At 59.5% G+C, this 17,960-nt stretch overlaps 1 protein-coding gene across 4 annotated transcripts in view; it reads left to right on the forward strand.

Annotated features, from left to right (window-relative positions):
• The window catches only part of FAM20C (FAM20C golgi associated secretory pathway kinase), a 68,202-nt gene that overhangs the window by 47,672 nt on the left and 2,570 nt on the right, over positions 1–17,960 (forward strand). For 2 of the 4 annotated variants that reach the window (XR_007060116.1, XR_001744837.2), the window contains 4 exons: positions 6,173–6,265; positions 8,073–8,188; positions 11,890–12,401; positions 15,607–15,693. Coding sequence is in view for 1 of the 4 variants with exons in the window: in NM_020223.4 (NP_064608.2) it covers positions 6,173–6,265; positions 8,073–8,188; positions 15,607–15,787; positions 16,412–16,521; positions 16,763–16,844 (582 nt within the window). In the remaining 3 variants the exon portion in view is untranslated. Of the gene's footprint in view, positions 1–6,172; positions 6,266–8,072; positions 8,189–11,889; positions 12,402–15,606; positions 15,788–16,411; positions 16,522–16,762; positions 16,845–17,960 lie in introns of those variants that run through there. The other 2 variants (NM_020223.4, XR_007060117.1) reach the window with 2 other exon arrangements.

A 17,960-nucleotide genomic window follows, 5' to 3' on the forward strand; every position in this document is an offset into this window, starting at 1 on the left:
ATGATGATGTTGATAAGGATGATAATGATGGTGGAGGTGATGATCATGGTAGAGGTAATAGTGATAGTGATGATGATGGTGGTGGAGGTGATGATTATGATGTTGATAAAGGATGATAATGATGGTGGAGGTGATGATCATGGTAGAGGTAATAGTGATAATGATGATGATGATGGTGACAGTGATGATGATGATAAGGATGATAATGATGGTGGAGGTGATGACCATGGTGGTGATGATGATGATAGAGGTGATGGTGGAGGTGATGATGATGTGGAGGTGATGGTGGTGATGGTGATGGTGGTAGAGGTGACATTGATAGAAATGGAAGGAATGAGGTGGCAAGAGCTCAAGGCTGCAGATAGATCTAGACTTCTCTGGACAATTCTTTGACTGAGTCCTCATTCATTCATTTGTTTATGAAACACCTGTTCGGAAGCAAGCCCTTGGCCAGGCATGTGATCCAGAAAACTGAACACTCTTGCCCTGGGGCCCTCTCCCCTTGAGTCCAGCAAACAATGCCACCGATTGTGGCCCGGGCCAAGCACTCCTTAGGGAAGAGCCACATTCTGCCTCAGGCTCCAGGAAAGCCCCACAGAGGGGCTGAGACAGACCATGGCAGGGCTGGCAGGGGGCACATGTGAAGGCAGCGGGCGGAGGGCTGCGGGCTTGAGTCTGGCTTCCTGAGCACGTCCTCCCTGAGCAGGGGGTGGGGCTGAGGTAGAGGAGGGGCAGGTGCTGGAGAGCTGACTCATATTCTAGAGGGAACTGGTGAGGTTTCTGCACTGATTGGAGAGCCCCAAGTGGGGCCGGGGCTTACGGGCTGGGGTGAGCTTCGGGGTGAATTGTCCTAAAGGGGTGGTTTGTTGGAAGCTGCTTTCTTCCTTGCCCCTGGGGCTGCTCCCTCCCTGCTTCCTCCTGCTGGGGTCACCTGGGTCTGGCCCCTTCCCTGGGGCTTTCAGCCCAGCTGTGGCAGGAAGTGGCCCGAGGGCCTCGGGAGCGGAGCCCAGAGTAGAATTCACTGCCTGCTGCCCTCTGCCCGGGAGCAGAACACAGGGTCAGATGGGAGCCGCCAGATGGGATGTGCTTTAATGACCGGATTTGTGCAGGTGACTCAAGTCAGCAAGTCGTTCGTCTTCTGCGTGAGCTTTGAGTCTCTTTGCAGGGAGGAAATCAGACTCCGCCTTTTCAGGGCCACTAAATGCGCTTTCCCAGCCAGCCCCGCTGCAAGGCTGTGCCAGGGAAAGATCGATGGAGCCGGGTCTTAGTCCCCTTCTCACCAAGAGGCCTCCGACAGCACTGTTCTGTGGGGGTTGTGTGTGTGTGTGTGTGTGTGTGCACTCCTGCGAGTGTGCATATATGTCCATGCACACGTGTGCATCTGTGAGTGTGCGAGTGTATGGATGCACATGTGCATGAATGTGTGTACGCACATGTATCTGTGCACATATGTGTGTGCACACGTGTTAATGTGCATCCACTGTGAGCGCCCGTGTGTGTGTTTCTGAGTGTGCAGGTGGGTGTGTGTGCATGAGCGAGTGTGTGTGCATGTGCACACGTGTGAATGTGCATCTGTGTGTGTGCCCGTGTGTACGTTTGTGAGCGTGCAGGTGTGTGTGTGTGCATGAGTGGGTATGTGTGTGTGCATGAGTGTTCATGTGTGCATGTGCACACGTGTTAATGTGCATCTGTGTGTGTGCGTGCGTATGCATACTGTAGTGGGTGGTTAGAACTAAACCACTCAGCATCCAGGCCCAGCCCCATGCCAACGCTCAGTGGACATTGCCTGGGCCAGCCCCTCCCTGGGCCTCAGTGTCCCCAGAGGCCCCCTGCGCTCTGGCAGGCCTGGAGAGCTCTGCGGGGACATCCCATTGTACTTCGCCTGCTACTGAGACGTCCACATCACCACACGGTGAGCTCCTGCAGTGTACCAGGCCCTGTGTGTGCCCGTCCCGCAACAGCTCTGGGAGGCAGCTGCTCTTTTTCTCCCTCTGGGGTTTGGAACCTGGGCTGGCGAGGGTCAGTGGCAGCAGCAAGATGAACACCCAGACCTGGAGATGTGCTGTCTGTGGGTCCGGGGACGCGGATCTGACAAATGCCCTTCTGCAGGCCTTGTGTGTACAGGGCAAGGGGCGTCCGCAGGACGGAACGATTCCAGAGGGTCTTCCTGGAGGCGGTGGCCAGGACAGTCCTGACTGAGAAAGCAGAAGGAGGAGGGTGGGAAGGGAGGGCAGGCTGGGCTGCAGGCTGGGGAGACAGCACTGTTCGGTGCACTGGGGGCAGGGCCAGTGAGCTGGGGGAGGGGGTGGACTCGGCCCCCTCCATCCTGGCCAGGGAGCGGGATGGACAGTGGGCAGACACCAGAGGCCTCAGAAGGCCCCATTCTCAGAGCTGCACTGCACACCACTAGCCAGGTGTGCCCATTAGATTTAAGATAAAATCAGACTTAAAACTCAGTTTCTGGAGGCTCTGGTCACATTTCGAGTGTCCCACAGCCATGTGTGGCCACTGGCTGCCGAGTTGGACAGCGCAGAAGGTCACGTCCATCACAGAGGAAGCACCGATGGACAGGCCAGGCTGGGGGTGAGGTGACTCCAGGTGCCCACACCAAGGGGCAGGCTCAGAGGGACGTGGAGTGGCTGTGTGTCCAGGGGACCTGGCCAGGGCGAGAACAGCTGCCCCCCAAGACAGTACCTACAAGAAACCTGTGCCACCCGGGATACCTGTGCCACCCGGGATACCTGTGCCACCCGGGAGACCTGTGCCACCAGGAGACCTGTGCTAACCAGGAGACCTGTGCCACCCAGGAGACCTGTGCCACCCGGGAGACCTGTGCCACCCAAGAGACCTGTGCCACCCGGGAGACCTGTGCCACCCAAGAGACCTGTGCCACCCGGGAGACCTGTGCCACCCAAGAGACCTGTGCCACCCGGGAGACCTGTGCCACCCAAGAGACCTGTGCCACCCGGGAGACCTGTGCCACCCAAGAGACCTGTGCCACCCGGGAGACCTGTGCCACCCGGGAGACCTGTGCCACCCAAGAGACCTGTGCCACCCGGGAGACCTGTGCCACCCGGGAGACCTGTGCCACCCAAGAGACCTGTGCCACCCGGGAGACCTGTGCCACCAGGAGACCTGTGCTAACCAGGAGACCTGTGCCACCCGGGAGACCTGTGCCACCCAAGAGACCTGTGCCACCCGGGAGACCTGTGCCACCCAAGAGACCTGTGCCACCCGGGAGACCTGTGCCACCCAAGAGACCTGTGCCACCCGGGAGACCTGTGCCACCCGGGAGACCTGTGCCACCCAAGAGACCTGTGCCACCCGGGAGACCTGTGCCACCCGGGAGACCTGTGCCACCCAAGAGACCTGTGCCACCCGGGAGACCTGTGCCACCCGGGAGACCTGTGCCACCCAAGAGACCTGTGCCACCCGGGAGACCTGTGCCACCCGGGAGACCTGTGCCACCCAAGAGACCTGTGCCACCCGGGAGACCTGTGCCACCCGGGAGACCTGTGCCACCCAGGAGACCTGGGCGCCGCCTCTGCAGTGGATGTCCCAGGAGCTCAGTTTCCTAGCGGCTTTATCAGGCACCCAGTGGTGCAGGCCTTTGCTCCAGGGGCCTACAGTGAATTCTGACTGCCCAACTGATAAGTAGCTGAGGATTTTCTAAAGAAAATAATAATAATAATAATAATAATAATTATTATTATTATTATTTGGAGACAGGGTCTCACTGTGTCATCCAGGCTGGATTGCAGTGGTCACTGCAGCCTTGGCCTCCTGGGCTCAGGTGATCCTCCCATCTCAGCCTCCCGCGTAGCTGGGATCACAGGTGTGTGCCACCACGCCCAGCTGATTTTTTTATTTTTCGTAGACCTGGGGTCTCACTATGTTGCCCAGGCTGGTCTTGAACTCCTGGACTCATGCTGGGCCGTTCTGGGGAGTCACTGTGCAGACGTAAGGCTCGAAGTTTACAGAAAAGAAATCTTGCCTCCATCTGGAGTTCCCTTTTTCCAGCTGAAAGTTACTAAAATCTAGTAGAACTAGTGTTCTGTGGAATGAGTTTTGCTCAAAGCCAATCCTTCCAAGTTGAAAACAACGAAGGCTTTTTAACCTCAAAAATATCCAACACTCCAGAATTTACCACCCCTGGAACTGCGGGCTGACTGCAGCGGACCATTTGGTTTGACCTTTAGTGTTTTAGAAAAATGAAATCCATTTGCCAGCGCTTAAAACCCGGGAGATTCCACAAGGTCTAGATTCTTTCTCTTGAACCTCAGGATCCCGGCCAGTCTGGGCCTCGGCTCTGCAGGGCGACCCTGGCGGGCAGCATGTTCAGTTTGCCGCCATACCTGCCACTGCCCTGCCCTGCACCCCAACCCTCCTTTGCTGCTGGTTTCAGAAGTGCACAGAGATAGCAATGGCCACAGACCCAGTGGGGTTATGAAGCAAATGTGACCTTCAGGCGCCAGCCCACCATCCGCATTTTATTTTTAAGTAGCTCCTGGAATCCTCATCTGGCCTTGCGCCTACCCAGGGCCCTGTCAAGGCGAATATTATGTGGGATCGTGGAAAGTGGTCTGTTCTCAGAGTTTCTAGCAGCAGAGACTAGTTCTTAAAAAGGCCGTGGGTGGTACACATCTTTAACCCCCCATAAGAAACGTTCCGGGAACACGGAGAATTGTGGCCACAGCTTTCTGAGAACAGCGTGGGAGGACGGGAGCCACGGGCTGGTGTGTAATTGACGGCCTGTGACCCAGACGTGGTCCCCCCGAAGGGACGTGGACATGACATACAGGACCTGTGCCCCACCCCGCTGTTCGTGTGGCGATGATGTCGGCCCGTGGCAGGGCCAGGATGCTCCCAGGAGTTGGGCGGACCTCCGCTGCGTATATGGAAGGAAGGACCCGGCCGGGGAAGCCGAGGGCTGGGAAAGTGACCGGGGCGGCGTCTGTAGTCTGCATTGCTGGAGTGTTGGAGCCCAGACGGAACACAGTCTGCCCTGAGTGGGAGGTGTGGGCTGCAGGGCGTGCGAGCTGGGGATTCCCGCCAGCTCTGGTTTCCAGCACCTGGAAAGGTCACCAGAGTTTGAATCTGGTAAATTCTTCCTGGATTGGGGGCTGAGTTCCCTCCCTGGGCCTGGCATGGGAGGACATCCTGGGACGGGCTCTCCTTCCAGTGGAGGCAGGGGCCAGCCTTGGTGGAGGAAGCCTGGGTTGGAGGCTGAGTTCCCTCCCTGGGCCTGGCCTGGGTGGACGCCCTGGGACAGGCTCTCCCTCCAGTGGAGGCAGGGGCCGGCCTTGGTGGGGGAAGCATGGCAGGGGCCGGCCTTGGTGGAGGAAGCATGCTTACACGCTTACACGCTTACGCGCTTACACACTTATGCTCAGACACGACCTTGACAATTCCTCCACGTTTCCACCATGACCACATCGGTCAAACACTTGCGTGGACCGGCACCTCACAGGGCCCTGCGGCTAGGCTCCCCTTCCCCTGGAGTATTGGCCTGAGATACAGGAGCCCTATGGTGTTTACAGAATGGCACTGACCTTTCATAAACAGCCCCACCTGTGGCCTCCTGTCCCTTGGCCAGGGTGGAGGGACAGGGCGGTGCCCACATTGCCCTTCTTGGGCTCTTACTGTGGGAGGCGTCCACGGCAGAGCCAAGGGGTCCTGGAGGCCGTGGGGGAGACTCGGAAACCAGAGGGTGGGCGGTGCCAGGGTGCACACAGCAAACCGGGGCTGAGCCAGGCCTGGGACACCGAGCCCAGCCTCTCCCCTGCGGTGTGACTGTGGGTCCCAGGGTGGACGTGCCGGGGCCCCCAGCCAGTGCAGGAGAGGCCTTTGAGCAGCTTACCTGAGAAGGGCCCATGGGGAGCTGGGACCTCCGGCCTCCGTCGCAAGGGCCTGCGCTGCTCTGAGGGCCCGTCGGCAGCTGGGTCAGGGCCACGGGGAGCTGGGACCCCCGGCCTCCGTCGCACGTGCCTGCGCTGCTCTGAGGGCCCGTCGGCAGCTGGGTGCCCAGGGTCCCGAAGGCTCAGGGTGGCCCTGAGGAGGCTGGAGCTCCACCGCATTTTTCATATGAGGAACCCAGCACGTCCCGCCTGCCTCCGGCCCCTGGAGGCTTTCTCAGTGACAAACCGTTTCTGTTTCTGTCTTGTTTTCTCAGACAAACGAGGGAGCAGGAGACACCCCCTGACTTTTTTTATTTCTCTGACTACGAGAGGCACAATGCGGAGATTGCTGCCTTCCACCTGGACAGGTGAGCCCTTCCTTCCTCCCTCCATCCGCGCTCCCGTGCGCTCAGACCCACCGGTGAGTGAGGCCGTCCTGCACTGGACACAGCAGGACGTCATCGTCACCTTCGTCACCATCAGGCAGCGCCGGTGCCTGCTCTCCCCCCACCCCGAGTGCTGCCCTGAGCAGGGTCCTGTATGTCATCGTCACCTTTGTCACCATCAGGCAGCGCCGGTGCCTGCTCTCCCCCCACCCCGAGTGCTGCCCTGAGCAGGGCCCTCTGTGTCATCGTAGCCCACACAACACGCGGTAGGGAGAGCCTTTCATATCCCCCTTTACAGATGAGAAACTGAGGCTCTGTGAGCGGCGATTTGCCCAGGTTCCCACGCTCCTAATCATCCCTCTGTCACCGAGGGAGAGGGCGCCTGCCCTCAGGGCACCTTAATCCAGATGGGCCCCTCCTGCACCCCCACAGTTCAGGCAGATGGGAGGCACAGAAGCTGCTGTGCGGTCGGTAATAGAGGAAAAGGAAAGAGGGAAGGAGGCAGGGAGGGAAGGGGGAGTATTAAGTGCTGCGAATCTTAACACAGAGACTCACAGAGCACAGGCTTCTCTGGGAGACCAAAGCAGGCTTCCTAAGGAGGGGGAAGCGATGTTTGTGATGAGGGGGCCTGGGAGGCCCCACGGTCGCCTGTCTCCAGAGGGGCCGCCCCAGCCCAGCAGAAAGTGAACCCCTTGTGAGGGTCAGCTTGGCCCTGCTGCTGGGAAAGTGGGGGGTCCGTGTTCAGTGCCCTCCAAGGGCAGTAAACGGGCCTGGCCCAGGTCCAGAGGGGCCCCGTGGATTGAAGGACCTTGCCCTGGTGCAGTGGAGGGAGGAGGCGCCACCCTCAGCCCCCAGAGCCTCCCTGCCTGCCCTGCACGGCCCTGACACGTCCCAGCCTGGGGTGCGGCCCCAGGGCCGGCAGCATTGGGGTTGCCCTGGGCTAGTTGGAATGCAGAGTCCTGGGCTCCACCCAGACCTGGGACAGAATCTGCATTTTAACAAGATCCCTAGTGACGCGGGCGTACATTGGAGTTTAAAGGGCTTTTTTAAAGATCAAAGTCTTCTGTGGTGACTATAGAAATCGCCAGAAGCCAGATTTTCCACCATTTCAGCTATCTAGAACAGCCTGAACCCAAAAAGGGCTTTTTATGAAAAGAAAGACGGGGAGGGTCATTAGGAAACAGCCCCCCTCGGGTCCACCTGTTTATAAAACAGGACACAGAGCCCAGCACCCAGGCGAGCCGTCTGACAGGTGGAGGGGGAGGGTGCTCCACGCAGAGGCGTGGTCGGGCCTTGGGTCCCGGGTCGGCCCTGGCAGACGGCCCACGTCCCTCCACACCTGGTCACCTCGCCTCACAGGACAATCACCACGTCCTCCGTCAGCAAGAAAAGCTCTCGCCCTGCATTCTCCATTTAATTAAGCGAGTGGGAGCCTGTGGTGTGGTTCAGAAGGAGTTCCATTAAAAGTGGCTCCTTTAATTTAATTTTGTTTTAAATTTAGCCCTGGAATGAGGGCAGGCTTTAGCTATGCAGGCAGTTGGTGCTGTGTGCCCATCAGTGAGGCATCGCCAGCCCCAGTCCCTCAGGGGCCTCTCCCACCCCCATCACCGTGGGGCCAGGCAGAGCCACCGGACCTAGGGCTGGGTTTATTCGGAGGCAGGGACACAGAGGCCCGCTGAGCCGCACAGAGCACAGACCCTCCCCTGCCCCGTTCTTATTTGGAGGCAGGGACACAGAGGCCCGCTGAGCCGCACAGAGCACAGACCATTCCCCGCCCGTTTCTTGCCAGGATCCTGGACTTCCGCCGGGTCCCTCCCGTGGCCGGCAGGATGGTCAACATGACCAAGGAGATCCGGGACGTCACACGGGACAAGAAGCTCTGGAGGACCTTCTTCATCTCTCCAGGTAGCCTGGCACGGGGGCCCGCATTCATCTCTCCAGGTAGCCTGGCACGGGGGCCCGCATTCATCTCTCCAGGTAGCCTGGCACGGGGAGCCCACATTCATCTCGCCAGGTAGCCTGGCACGGGGGCCCACATTCACCTCTCCAGGTAGCCTGGCACGGGGGGCCGCATTCATCTCTTCAGGTAGCCTGGCACGGGGAGCCCACATTCATCTCGCCAGGTAGCCTGGCACGGGGGCCCACATTCACCTCTCCAGGTAGCCTGGCACGGGGGCCCGCATTCATCTCTCCAGGTAGCCTGGCATGGGGAGCCCACATTCACCTCCCCAGGTAGCCTGGCACGGGGAGACCACATTCATCTCGCCAGGTAGCCTGGCACAGGGGCCCGCATTCATCTCTCCACGTAGCCTGGCACGGGGGCCCGCATTCATCTCTCCAGGTAGCCTGGCACGTGCCCTGTGCCCCCTTCCACACCAGGGTGCTGACTCACAGTGCTGTTCCCAACCCACCTCCCACGCAGGGGTGCCCTGTGCCTCCTTCCACACCCGGAGTGCCAGCCCACGGACAGCTTCAAGGTGCCACCATCAGGGTTTAACCAATGTCCTTCTGTGCACAGAGAGACTGTTTCTTCCATTTCTTTGTTTATTTTAACTGGTGAAACGATTCACTTTTGGGAGGTCCTAGCCTCTCCAGGAAGCCTTCTCCAGGTGGCCCAGCCAGCAAACATCCATGGGACCTCCCCACTCGGACTTAAACACACTCAGCAGGACCCCCGTTGTATAGTAACAGGGTGGGCGGCCTCCCCCGCCTCGGCGAAGTGGCTGGACTGTGAGCAGGGCTGGCCCAGGCCCCTGGTCCCTGGTGCCCTTGAGGGGATACAGGATGGCCTGAACGTTAGGCAGGAATAGATGTCTTTGTTGGTGCTGAGGTTTATAAAACCTTCAAGACTCTACGTGATAAGTACAGCGCACACATAAACACATGATTTTCTACTTAATTATCTACCCAGGTTGCTTTAAACCTGACATTTGGGCTGGGCGTGGTGGCTCACGCCTGTAATCTCAGCATTTTGGGAAGCCAAGGTGGGAGGATCACTTGATTTCAGGAGTTTGAGACCAGACTGGGCAACGTGGTGAGACCCCTGTCTACAGGAAATTAAAAAATTAGCCAGCCGTGGTGGCGCTTATCTGTGGTCCCAGCTACTCAGGAGGCTGAGGCAGGAGGATTGCTTGAGCCCAGGAGGTGGCGGCTGCAGTGAGTGGGGGTTGCACCACTGCACTCCAGCCTGGGCAACAGAGTGAGACCCTGTCTCAAAAAAAAAGAAAAGAAAAGAAACTGGCATTTGTGGCTCTGCCGAGGGCTCAGTCCTCCTCTCCAAGCGCCTCTCTGGTACCAGGCCCCTGCTGCACAGCCTGTTCCCATTTCCGATGCTCACCTGGCTGAGCTCTGGGGACACTCTCCTACCTGTCCCGGACTCGGTCCCCTATGTTTCCATCTTGAAGGTCAAGAGTGGTCCCAGCGATGGTGGGCCCTGCAGAATGAAGGGACCCTCACCCCAGGAAACCCTGCAGAGCAAGGTCCCCACTGGGGAGGGGCCCTCCGGATCGGAGGCTCTCACTGTAGGGGGCCTCAGCCACTCTCCTGGCCCATCTGTTTAATTCATGCAGATAAAATCCAATTAGGGCCCCTGATTAGCTGCGTCTTCAGATTTGCTGGCACATAAAACCTTGACCTAAAAGCTCATTTCCTGCAGATGTTTCAGATCGATGTACGGACTCTGCGCTTTCTCTTAATGCATTCATGAATTTGTCAGAACCCGGCCCCCGAATCCATGATTTAATTAAGCTCCGTTCCGTCAGCCAGGGCTCACCGAGATCCTCATTTGCTTTCTTCCTCTCAAAGCCCATTAATAAGAGAAAAATAGGACAGAAAGCTCCACAGAGGCGGGAAGAAGGGCTCCCTTCCCTGGCCCACTGGTGCCTGGCCCTACACACCAGGAATCGGGGCAGAGGCAGAACCTGAGCGTGGGGGTCTTTGAGGGCTCCCCGGTCAGCTGTGCCTGAGCCAGGCACACCTCCAGTGATGGGGAACGCATTGGCTCACAGACAATTCAGTCCCTGTTTGGATGGCTTGAGCTGTCCATCTTTTTTAAGGGGCTGAAACTCGCCTCCCCACCCTGGGAGTCCAGGGCTTCCTAAGCACGCCTGAGCTCCGGCCGCTGTCAGCCCTTGGGTCGACCCTGACCGCACTGTCCAGCCACCGCCTCCTGCCCCACCGTCCACAGGACTGACCGCACTGCAGCCCGCCATGCACACCCTGGTGCCCACGGAGGCTGGGCTCCGCTCCAGTGATGCCTGGATGCCCGACTGCTTCTTATCCACGTCTTTTTACAATTTTTATTGCAACTTTTAGGGTGATGTATTTCAAAGGTTCCAAAGACTGACATTCCCCATCCTCAGGTGCCAGCGCCCCATGCAGTGACTGTGGGAATTCCTCCAGCTTAAACTCCATTCTCTGCATTGCAGACCAAGCTCTCGGTTCAGGACCGATTGAAAGAGACGGTCACAGGGTCACGCAGGGAGGGGTCAATGATGCCCACTGATGCTGAGAACATGCCCTGCCTGGCTCTGCTCAGAGCAGCATCTCCGGAACTCCTCATTTTGTTGTAAAATGAGCCTGTGGGGGCAGGTCGTTTCCTCCCCGTTTCTAAGGTCTTACTGAGTGGCCGGGCACGGCGGCTCACGCCTGCACTGAGTGGCCGGGCACGGCGGCTCACGGCTGCACTGAGTGGCCGGGCACGGCGGCTCACGCCTGCACTGAGTGGCCGGGCACGGTGGCTCACACGCCTGCAATCCCAGTACTGGGAGGACCCCTTGAGCCCAGGAGTTCAAGATCAGCCTGGACAACGTAGCGAGACCCCATCTCTACAAAAAATGAAAAATTAGCCAGGTCTGGTGGCATGCATCTGTGATTCCAGCAACTCAGGAGGCTGAGGCAGGAGGATGGCTTGAGCCCAGCAGGTCTAGGCTGCAGTGAGCTATGATCGGGCACCACTGCACTCCAGCCTGGGTGACAGAGTGAGACCCCGTCTCAAAAAAAAAAAAGACTGAGTTGATTATTAGTCCAAGCAGGTGAATTAAGTCACCTCTATGTCCCATGTTGGCTGACACTTGGAATCCCCAGGTCCTCAGCAGGCCAGGGACGGTGGTCACCGGAGTGCCCCTGAGCTCTGTGCTGCAAGGCGGCCATCGACCACCTTTGGTGCCGTTGCTGGAATCCCTTCTCACGTCTCCCTGGAGCCAGCACTTTATTAAGCGCTCCAGCAGCTTCCCTGGCCACTCCTGGTTCTGGATATTAGTTGCGTTTTCCAGGGCAGCGCAAGTTTCTCCCCTGAAATCCAAGACTTCCTCGGCCACCAGAGGCCCCAACAGTTCCATGTCCCTGCCTGGACAGACGAGTCCTTGAATCTCCCAGAGCAGCCAGGCCCAGCATTGTCAGGCGCCCCTGAACGCAGCCCCTGGAACCCCACTGCTGCCACTCCAGCCGCGCTGCCCTGTCAGTCCGATTTCTTCCAGAAGCCTCTGTGAGCATTTGACTTTCTCTCAAGCAGCAGGGGCCCAGGAGCCCGGATTCCTCTCCTAGAGAACAAAATCTGTTCAGATTCGTTTGCTCCACTTTGCTTTGCATGTGTCTCCCAACCACAGATGCCAGGTGACCTCAGAGGCCCTGCCGGAGCCAAGGGCACATCAGAGGGCTGAGCCCACTGTAGACACCCCCTCGGCCTCCCGACCAAGGATGCCAGGTCATCTCGGAGGCCCTGCCGGAGCCGAGGGCACATCAGAGGGCTGAGCCCACTGTAGACACCCCCTCGGCCTCCCGACCAAGGATGCCAGGTCATCTCGGAGGCCCTGCCAGAGCCGAGGGCACATCAGAGGGCTGAGCCCACTGTAGACACCCCCTCGGCCTTCCGACCAAGGATGCCAGGTCATCTCGGAGGCCCTGCTGGAGCCCAGAGCACATTGGAGGGCTGAGCCCACTGCAGACACCCCCTCGGCCTCCCAACCACGGATGCCAGGTGGTCTCGGAAGCCCTGCTGGAGCCCAGAGCACATTGGAGGGCTGAGCCCACTGCAGACACCCCCTCGGCCTCCCGTGGCCTGAGTGACCCTCCCGTGGGGTCAATCAGAAAAGGGAAAATCCCATCAGCCAGGAACAAGGTGAGGGGGCGAGAGGTGGCCAAGGCCAGTGCTCGGGGAAGGTGGGCTCTGGGAGGGAGAAGCAGGAGGCTGAGCCCCAGGCAGCCCCCTGCCCCACGTAGGGATTGTGGAGCTCAGGTTCAGAGAGGGCAATTAGGACCCCAGCACCGCACAGCTGTGTAGGGGCCGGGCCGCAGTCAGAGCCCACATCTTCTAAGCCCCAAACGCTCACAGAACACACTCCCCTACTTCTCACGTAAGTTACCGTCTGCACGTTGCAAACGTCCCAGAGGTGCACAGGTCATCCGTGCACAGCTTTGCATTTCTGCAAGGTGAGCGCCCCCAGGACCAGGCCCAGGTCCTCAGCAGCTCCGGAAGCCACTCAGCCCGACACAGCCTGGACAGAAGGGCTTTGCCATCATCCGCTTCGCCTTTTTTCCTGCCACGGTGGCCTGGGCTGGGCAGGGCGGTCCTCAGGACTCTCTCCAGTGCTGCGTCCAGCTTAAATGCAGGTTGCAGGAGACACGTTTCCAGCGATGGACCCAGTTCGGGCACCCAGAGCCGCTGCCCTAAGTAACAGTGTCCGCCGGGCCCGCAGCTGTCCAGGGCACAGCTGTCCAAGGTGGCAGATGGCAGACGTCCGCCTTGCAAAACGCTCCTCCTGCTGGGTCAGCCCCGACACAGTCAGCGAAAGGAATGGTGGGAGACGCTTGAGCCGCAGGGTGAAGGAGCCATCTTCGTCCTTGCCAGGAGCCACACTCTTGCCTGTCTGCGCTCTCCGGGAGGCCAACCGTGATGCCATTTCCTGGTGACTGGAGGAGGCAGGATCTCTCCTGGGTTTGTCCGCTACCCTGGCTTTCTCCTTGCTGTTTGTGTCTTTTATTATTACTAAAATGGAAAAGGACTCACGCTCCTTCCTCCCAGAAAGCCCCCACTCCAAGTGCAGGGCAGCCTTCGTTACCTGGACAGCTGCCTCCCGTGGCTTCTTTGTGTAATTCCCAGCCCGTGATGCCGGCGTTGCTGGGACCCCCGCTTCCCGGGCGAGGGGCTGGGCACAGAGCAGGGAGGCACTTGCCTGAGGTCACACAGCTCCAAGCCCTCCTAACCCCGCCCGGGAGGCCCCTTTAATACCCGATTTGGATCTGCAAAGAGAAATGGCTGTGGGCCCGAGAAATGCCTTTCTCTTTTAACACGATACCATCTGAAACCGGCTTAGGCGAGGACGGGAGGCTGTTAACAGCAGACGAATTTTAAGCCTCCAGCCAATGAGCGCTCAGATGAAGATTTTCCTCCTGAAATGGAGCTCCTGCCCCGGTGGGGGCTGCCTCGTCCGACTGTGGGCTGCCGACTAATCTGTATCAGCACGAGACAGGATTGCAGCTGGTCTTTCCTTGATCGTTCGTTCTTACAATAATGACCCAGCGTTGGCAGTGGGGTGAGGGGGCGCGGGAAGGAGGGGGCAGGCAGGTGATCGGGGCGTTGGAACCAGACCAGCCGGGACCTGCCGGGTGCGTGGGGTGTGGTGGGGGCCAGGTCGGCCTGGCACCCACCCCGTTTCCTCTCCGAACCTCAGCTTGTTCAGCTAAGAAAGGGCAGCCGGGACCGGCCACCCTCCTGTTCACTCCGCTGGGAAGCGCCCTGCCGAACCTGCCTTCTGATCCCACGGGGAGCCTGCCCTGCAGCCAGGAGAGACCCCTGGAATCACTCAGCCTGGCTGCATAGGAATGCTGGGACTGGGGGAGCTGTGAGTGAGGTTCGGGGCTCCGGCCCCAACAAAACCACGTTCTCACCAGTTCTACAGCCCCAGGCTTTCCAGAGTTTCTCCACAAACAAATAAAGCAAGAAAAACTAGATTTAATCAGCAAATAAATACAGGAATAGCGCCGTCGGCCGGGCCTCCAGCATCAGAGCAGTGAACCCGCACTGCTAGCGGGCCTGGACAGCGCTTGCATTTTTCTGATTATTCTTTCTTTATTAAGGTATAATTCATGTACCACAAAATTTACCATTTAAAAGCGTACAGTTCCGTGGTTTTTAGTATATCCACAATGGTGTGCAACCATCACCACTGTCTAAATCCAGAATGTCCTGCTGACCCCAAAAAGGAGCCCCGTACCATGAGCAGGCGGTCACCGTTCCTCACCCCGCAGCCCTCGACGAGCAGCGTCCCACCCCCAGTCTATCTGGATTTGCCTGTTCTGGGCGTTTCATATTAAGAGGGTCATACGACGTGTGGCCTCCTCTGTCTGGCCTCCTTCGCGGAGCACAGGGTTCTCGGGTTCAGTGAGGGCTTCATTCCTCTTCTTGTTTCATTTCGTTTCGTGTCATCGCACGGATGGACCATGTTCACCTGGCGTGTCCACTCCTCTCTTGATGGACATTTGGGTGGATTCTCTCTTTTTCGGCTGTGGTGAGCGGTGCTGCTGTGAGCATTCGTGTCTGAGTTTTTGTATAGAAATGTTTTCTCTTCTCTTAGGGGTTTACATGGGAGGGGAGTTCCTGGGTCACGTGGAAACACTGTGTTTAATCAGTTGGGGGCTGCAGACCGTTTCCGCCGTGGCTGTGCCGTGTGCACCCCCCGCCAGCAGCGCACAGAGGTGGCGGTTCCCCCGTCCCAGCCGGCAGCTGCTCTTTTGATGGAAGCCATCCCAGCAGACAGGAGATGGTGCCTCACCGTGGCTTTGATTTGCATCTCCCCGGTGACTCACGATGGCGCCCGTCTCTTCTCATGCTTGTCGGCCATCAGGGTCGTCTTTGGAGAATCAGCTGTTCAAGCCCTCTGCCCATTTATTAGTTTTTTTTGTCTTTTTGTGATTGAGTGATGAGAGTTCTTCATACACTCTAAATGCTAGATCCTCAGATGTGCGGTTTGCAAACGTTTTCTACCATTCTGTGGATTGTATCTTCACTTTCTTGACAATATGAATGCATTTTTTAAAAGACTAAATGTTGGCCCTAGGGTTTCCATAGACCAGCCCCTGATTTTCGAGGGTTCAGGCCGGGCTCTGCCTCTGGGGAGCTGTGTGGCCTCGGGACGTCAGCTCTGTGGGTTCATTTTTCTGTACCGTGGGGTGGAGGTGTTTGCTGGGATTGATGGGGAACTGTGGGTGAGTCCTGCCCATGAGAAGCACCAGGCAGAGCCCGGCCCGGCCTTGGGGGCCGTGAGACCACAGGTGAGGACGCAGCCCTGTGCGGCCCTGGTAACCCGCAGCCTGTCCCTCCCCAGCCAACAACATCTGCTTCTACGGCGAGTGTTCCTACTACTGCTCCACGGAGCACGCCCTGTGCGGGAAGCCAGACCAGATCGAGGGCTCGCTGGCGGCCTTCCTGCCCGACCTGTCCCTGGCCAAGAGGAAGACCTGGCGGAACCCTTGGCGGCGTTCCTACCACAAGCGCAAGAAGGCCGAGTGAGTGCGGGGCCGGGGGGCTGGCGTCCGGCCACCCTACGGCAGAGGGAGCTGGGCCTGGGCGGGCATGGGAGGGTCGGCGCCCACGGGGGTGGCAGAGATGGGTGCAGAGCCTGCTGTGCGATGCTGGCCTGTGTGAGATGACCGCTTCCTGATGAGACGGTGGCAGAGGGCGTCCTTACTCCAGTATTTCCATGTGCTTCCCTGACCCGGGCCGGCCTGCCCACCAGGTCCCTCGAATCGGGGCCTCTCAGCGTTTGAGCTCTGCTCTCGCCCCGTCCCTCTCCTCACTCCTGCGGGAGAAACGGCCCCTGTTCTTTCCGCCCCACGTTGTCCTCGTGAGTGTGTAGTCCAGGTCCTGTTTCCCCACAGAGACTCTGCAAAAAACACGGGGCCCAGAGGTGAAGGCAGCTCCAGGTGGGGTCACCCCGAGGCAGGGCAGAGCGGCTCCGTCCCCTCCCACACCCGTGCTCCCGCTAATGCAGCCTCAGCGCCGCAGCCCGGGCGGGTCCATCTGCAGACGCCAAGGTCCCTGCCGCAGTGTTTCTCTTCTGCTCCTCATGGCACGCGCCGGGCTCCCCAGAATCTGGCCTGGGCCCCCCGTCTCACGCTGGCTCCCCGCAGGTGGGAGGTGGACCCTGACTACTGCGAGGAGGTGAAGCAGACACCGCCCTACGACAGCAGCCACCGCATCCTGGACGTCATGGACATGACGATCTTCGACTTCCTCATGGGTACGTCCCGCAGGGGCACGGGGTCCCCGTGTCACTCGCCTTGCGTGGAGCGGATGCACGCAGGGCTCTGCAGGGCACACTCCGTGGCACGGCCCGGCTGCGGTCCTGTGGCCTGTGAAGGGGCCAGATTGCTTAGAGGTCACGCTGGCAGGAGGAGACGCCGCTCTGCAGAGCACAGAGGCCTCTGAGCTACGTGGCCCGGCTCCCCACGAGCTGTGACACTTTCTGCCTCTCTCCGCAGGAAACATGGACCGTCACCACTACGAGACTTTTGAGAAGTTTGGGAATGAAACGTTCATCATCCACTTAGACAATGGAAGAGGGTGAGCCTGTCCTCGCCCCTGCACACCCAGGGAAGGGCCGGCCACCTCCCAGCTACCTGCAGCCCACCTGAGACCCTGGGGACGGGGGGAGCAGACCCTCCAGTGGAGGGATGGGAATGTCGCAAAGGCCCATCTCAGAGCCAGATGCAGAGGGCGGCCCCAGGCCCCAACCAGGAGGGAGGGCCGCCCCGGGAGTGGGACCTCCGAGGCACAGGAATGCTGCAGACCAAGTCCCGGCAGAGCTGGTGTTACCTGGGAAACGGAGGCCAGGAGAGGCTGCTGGTAGGAAGAGCAGGACCGTGCAGAATAGATGGGCCTCTGCCTGCACGCGGTACCTGGAGCCAGCCAGCGGGGGATAGGCGGCCTCTGCGGCCGCTGCTGGCCTGCCACGGGGGGTCTTGGGCGGCGCTGTGAGACCCTGGTTACCAGGGAGGGTGACCCCTAATAAGCAAAGCATGGAGGCGAGTAACTCGGGCAGGAGGACGTCCATTCCCAGGCTCGGAGGCCTCAGAGAGATGGACTTTGGGCACTTCAATAGCTAAACTGTGGGCTGACGCTCCCTGGAGCCATCTCAACTCGGCTGCCCAGGACCCTTCCCCAGGCCAGAGGCCAGGACCCCACATACAGGGCTGGGGACAGGCGGGGTGGACCCACTGCCTGGGGTGCTGGAGATGGGCAGGGTGGACCCACTGCCCGGGGTGCTGGAGATGGGCTGGGTGGACCCACTGCCCGGGGTGCTGGAGATGGGCAGGGTGGACCCACTGCCTGGGGTGCTGGAGATGGGGCTGGGTGGACCCACTGCCCAGGATGCTGGAGATGGGCTGGGTGGACACACTGCCTGGGGTGCTGGAGATGCCCGGGGTGGACCCACTGCCTGAGGTGCTGGAGATAGGCAGTGTGGACCCACTGCCTGGGGTGCTGGAGATGGGGCTGGGTGGACCCACTGCCCGGGTGCTGGAGATAGGCAGTGTGGACCCACTGCCTGGGGTGCTGGAGATGGGGCTGGGTGGACCCACTGCCCGGGGTGTTGGAGATAGGCGGGGTGGACCCACTGACTGGGGTGCTGGAGATAGGCAGGGTGGACCCACTGCCTGAGGTGCTGGAGATAGGCAGGGT

The sequence above is a fragment of the Homo sapiens genome, chromosome 7 (assembly GCF_000001405.40).
Source record: "Homo sapiens chromosome 7, GRCh38.p14 Primary Assembly".
In the NCBI taxonomy this organism is placed as follows: domain Eukaryota; kingdom Metazoa; phylum Chordata; class Mammalia; order Primates; family Hominidae; genus Homo; species Homo sapiens.